At 51.0% G+C, this 4,664-nt stretch overlaps 1 protein-coding gene across 3 annotated transcripts in view, besides 1 other annotated feature; it reads left to right on the top strand.

Annotated features, from left to right (window-relative positions):
- Positions 1–3,687, top strand: part of DPP3 (dipeptidyl peptidase 3) — a 29,224-nt gene extending 25,537 nt beyond the window's left edge. For all 3 annotated transcript variants that reach the window (NM_130443.4, NM_005700.5, NM_001256670.2), the window contains one exon: positions 3,109–3,687. In NM_130443.4, the coding sequence (NP_569710.2) occupies positions 3,109–3,281 (173 nt within the window). In that variant the 3' untranslated portion in view covers positions 3,282–3,687. The remainder of the gene's footprint in view (positions 1–3,108) is intronic.
- Positions 4,527–4,576: an enhancer, noted in NCBI's record as "active region_5046". NCBI's record gives its function as "activates an Ori minimal core promoter by ATAC-STARR-seq in GM12878 lymphoblastoid cells {active_cell/tissue: GM12878}" and the evidence as "EXISTENCE:reporter gene assay evidence [ECO:0000049][PMID:35858748]".

Genomic DNA, 4,664 nt, shown 5'->3' on the forward strand with positions numbered 1-4,664 from the left:
ACGGAGTCTCACTCTGTCGCCTAGGCTGGAGTGTAGTGACACAATCTCGGCTCATTGCAACCTCCGCCTCTGGGTTCAAGCGATTCTCCTGCCCCAGTCTCCCGAGTAGCTGGTATAACAGGCGCCCGCCACCACACCCAGCTAATTTTTGTATTTTTTTTAGTAGAGACGGGGTTTTACTATGTTGGCTAGGCTGGTCTCGAACTCCTGACCTCAAGTGATCTACCCACCTCAGCCTCCCAAAGTGCTGGGATTACAGGCGTGAGCCACCATACCCGGCTATTTTATTTTATTTATTTCTGAGACGGAGTTTCCCTCTTGTTGCCCAGGCTGGAGTGCAGTGGCTCGATCTTGGCCCACTGCAATCTCTGCCTCCCGGGTTCAAGCGATTCTCCTGCCTCAGCTTCCTGAGTAGCTGGGATTACAGGCGCGTGCCGCCATGCCCGGCTAATTTTTGTATTTTTAGTAGAGACAGGGTTTTGCCATGTTGGCCAGGCTGGTCTCGAACTCCTGACCTCAGGTGATCCACCCTCCTCGGCCTCCCAAAGTGCTGGGATTACAGGCGTGAGCCACCATGCCCAGCCGGAAAAAGCATTTATTAAGACGCTCATTCTAGATGCTTTTCCATGCTCTCCAGAGGCTTCCTGGGATTTGGCCCCAACCCTTGCCAGCCTCACCACCCCTTCTCTGGCTCACTGTACTCCAGTCTCCCGACCTTTCTGTTTCTTCTACCCACTGAGCTGGGTCCACTCCTACAGCCTTTGAATAAGCTGTTCTTGCTGCTTGGCATGATCTTCCTCCAGATCTTTGCCTGTCTGGTTCTTTTTGTCCTTCCGCTCCTTGTAAAACGGCACCCTGTGAGAGAGGTTGTCTCTGACCCCTCCACCTAAAGTAACTGCTTCGGTCCCTCTCTGTTCTGCTACCCAGTTTCATTTTCTTCTAGCGCCCATCACGCTTGCCCATTTTCTTGGTGGTCACTTCTCATGATGGGAGGAGCAGCATACCCCAGTGCCTCATGCACAGCCTGGCACACTGGAGTTGCTCAGTGACTGTCAAATGAGTGCATTAATAAATCATGCCAGCCACATGGACAATACTCTCAATTGCTTTGATATGTCCAGCCCTGTGCGAGCCATGGGGGAGCCACTAGGGATCCGGAGGTGATCACAGCTCACTGGGGATGATAAGATATGGAGATAAATAATCATACAAGGGGGCCGGGCGCGGTGACTCACACCTGTAATCCCAGCACTTTGGGAGGCTGAGGCAGGTGGATCACAAGGTCAGGAGATCGAGACCGTCCTGGCTAACACGGTGAAACCCCGTCTCTACTAAAAATACAAAAAATTAGCCAGGCATGGTTGCAGGCGCCTGTAGTCCCAGCTACTCAGGAGACTGAGGCAGGAGAATGACCTGAACCCGGGAGGCGGAGCTTGCAGTGAGCCAAGATTGCGTCACTGCACTCCAGCCTGGGTGACAGAGCGAGACTCCATCTAAAAAAAAAAATAATAATAATAATCATCATCATAATCATACAAGGGAAGTGTTAATGAGTGGCCAAAACATATAAACAGAACTCTGAACACTTAGAGGAGGGAAGATCGCATCCATCTTCAAGAGTATCCGGGAACGTTCTGGGGAGGAAGGGGTGGTTCCCACTAGATCTGAAGAACAGGTTGGATTTTCAAAGGTTGTGATGGTGGTGCACTGTAAAAAGTTTTTTTTTTTTTTTTTGAGGTGGAGTCTCACTCTGTCCCGCAGGCAGTGGTGAGATCTCGGCTCACTGCAACCTCCACCTCCGGAGTCAAATGATTCTCCGGCCTCAGCCTCCCAAAAAGCTGGGATTAGAGGCACCCACCACCATGCCCAGCTAATTTTGTATTTTTAGTAGAGATGGGGTTTCACCATGTTGGCCAGGCTAATCTCGAACTCCTGACCTCAAGTGATCCACCCGCCTCAGCCTCCCAAAGTGCTGGCATTACAGGTGTGAGCCACCACACCCAGCCAGGTCGCTGTAAAAGCTTTCTATGGCTTAACTCCTAACAACCCAGAGAGAAATGGTTATTATCCTCATTTTTCATCTGGAAAATGAGGCACAGAGGGGCTGTGTATTTGCCTGCGGTCACAAAGCTGTTGGGTGGCAGAGCCAGAACTTGAACTCCAGAGCTTGTGCTCTTTGCTGCTGTGCAGCTTGTGATGTCATGGAACACGACAAGGTGCACAGAGAGGGTAGAGCAGTTGAAGTGTGTTTGAGGGCAGTGCTTCCCGGGGGTATTCAGGGGACCCTCAGAACAGCCCATTTAATAAATCAGTAAACAGGTTCGGAGATAATGATGCCATGGTGGCTAGCATTTGTTGAGCACCCCCTCGATGTGTGACTATGTCATCACTGCAGCTCCTTTACAGATGAGGAGACTGAAGCTTGGGAGGTTGCAACACTTGCCCCAGGTCCCACAGTAGACAGATGAAGTCGTTGCTGAATTGTGAGCTTCAGGACACCAAGGACTGTATCTGTTTCACCTAGTGTGGCACCTGGTGTCTTTTATTATTTATTTATTTATTTATTTATTTTGAGGTGGAATCTCACTGTCACCCAGGCTGGAGTGCAGTGGCACGATCTCTGCTCACCGCAACCTCTGCCACCCGGGTTCAAGCAATTCTCCAGCCTCAGCCTCCCGAGTAGCTGGGACTACAGGCTCATGCCACCACGCCCAGCTAATTTTTTTGTATGTTTAGTATAAACAGTGTTTCATCATGTTGGCCAAGCTGGTCTCAAACTCCTGACCTCAGGTGATCCTCCCACCTCAGCCTACCAAGGTGCTAGGATTACAGGCATGAGCCACCATGCCCAGCCTAAATCTTTATTTGATTGACTGAATGAACGAAAGCAGCAATGCATTTAATACTCCCCCTGTAGTATTTCCTTCCTCACAGGGTTACTGTAAAGAGTAAATTAAGTAATTAACCTAAAACGTAGAGCACAGGTTTTTTTGGCAGAGCTCAGTAAGAAACAGCTGCTGCTGTAATTGTGATTATTAAGATTTTTATGATGATTCAGTTTCCCTATTCAGACCTTTCCCTGCTGTTTTCTCTCCATCTCCTCCCCAGGCTCAGACGTGCAGCTTCTGGAATACGAGGCGTCAGCTGCTGGCCTCATCCGATCCTTCTCTGAGCGTTTCCCAGAGGATGGACCCGAGTTGGAGGAGATCCTCACACAGCTGGCCACAGCCGATGCCCGATTCTGGAAGGGCCCCAGTGAGGCCCCATCTGGCCAAGCTTGAGGAAGATGTGTGGCCTTGCCCCCAATTCCATCAGACCAAGGCTGCAAGTGGCCCTCCATTCGTGTGTGTATTTAGGGGCTGGGGAGGGGGAGGGGCAGGAGCTTGGACCTTGGTACTACCTCAGCTGAGGGTGGTGACACAACCCCTTCCATTTGTCAGCACTTTCCAGCCTGCCAATTGCTTCCCCTCTGTGATCTCATTTCATCTGCACTGCCATACGTGGAGTGAGCAAGACAGGGCTTACCATCCTGTCTACCAGATGAGGAAATGGCAGTTCTGAGAAGTCACTGGTCTAGATCCCGCAGGTGGCACGTGACAGCTAGGGTTCAAAACGTTCTCACCAAATCCAATGCTCCTCACATATTAATTTTATAACCAGACAAATAAATATTAGAGACAACCACCATCTTTGCGGCGTGTGTGGCTCCTCCTTGCCTTTGCCTGTCTTCTCATTTACTCCCAGCAGAGTGATGGGCTCAAGGCCTGGGGAGGGGGCAAGGAGGGCCATTTTTAGCCTCCCTTCCACAACAGGATGTTGACATTATCTCTAGATGAGGATACGCAGTCACAGAGCTGAACATAGCACAATTTTTGCAGCTCTCCTTTGTGGCATTCCTTGCATTTTTAAATGTTCTGGGGCCGGGCACGGTGGCTCATGCCTGTAATCCCAGCACTTTGGGAGGCCGAGGCGAGGGGATCACGAGGTCAGGAGTTCGAGACCGGCTTGGCCAATATGGTGAAACCTCGTCTCTACTAAAAAATAAAGTAGCTGGGCATGGTGGCATGCGCCTGTAATCCCAGCTACTCGGGAGGCTGAGGCAGGAGAATCCCTGGAACCCGGGAGGCGGAGGTTGCGGTGAGCCGAAATCGCGCTACTGCGCTCCAGCGCAAGCGACAGAGCGAGACTACGTCTCAAAAAAAAAAAAAAAAAAAAAAAGTTCTGGGAACCTACAAACTCAACTTCAGTCAGAATCCTCTGCATTTGTCCCATAACCCTCGTGTTTTGTTTCTCTGGGCCTGGACCTCTACAGTAACGCAGCAAGGCAGGACATGGTCCTTTTCAACCGGGTAACCATGAAGATGGAGACAGGAGGAGTTCTTTTTGCTGCTCATAAATGCTAGAAGGGGCTTCTTTCCAACCCTGGAAGCCAGAGGGCTCTGTGGCTGACCCAGAGATTGTAGGACCCAGACGCCTGGAAAGGTGGCTCTGACTGGGAAGGAGCAAAGATAAATATCTTTGAGGAATCTGAGACAGATTCCTCAACCCAGGAAGGTGGCCAGCGCGTCCTCCTGAGCCTGGGTGGGAAAGCTTGGCGCCCGGAACCTTTGTACTCGCCCTTCCCTGTGCTCGGGCACTATTGGGCGTTACGCGAGGGCGGGGCC

Source organism: Homo sapiens, chromosome 11 (genome assembly GCF_000001405.40).
Source record: "Homo sapiens chromosome 11, GRCh38.p14 Primary Assembly".
NCBI classification, from domain to species: domain Eukaryota; kingdom Metazoa; phylum Chordata; class Mammalia; order Primates; family Hominidae; genus Homo; species Homo sapiens.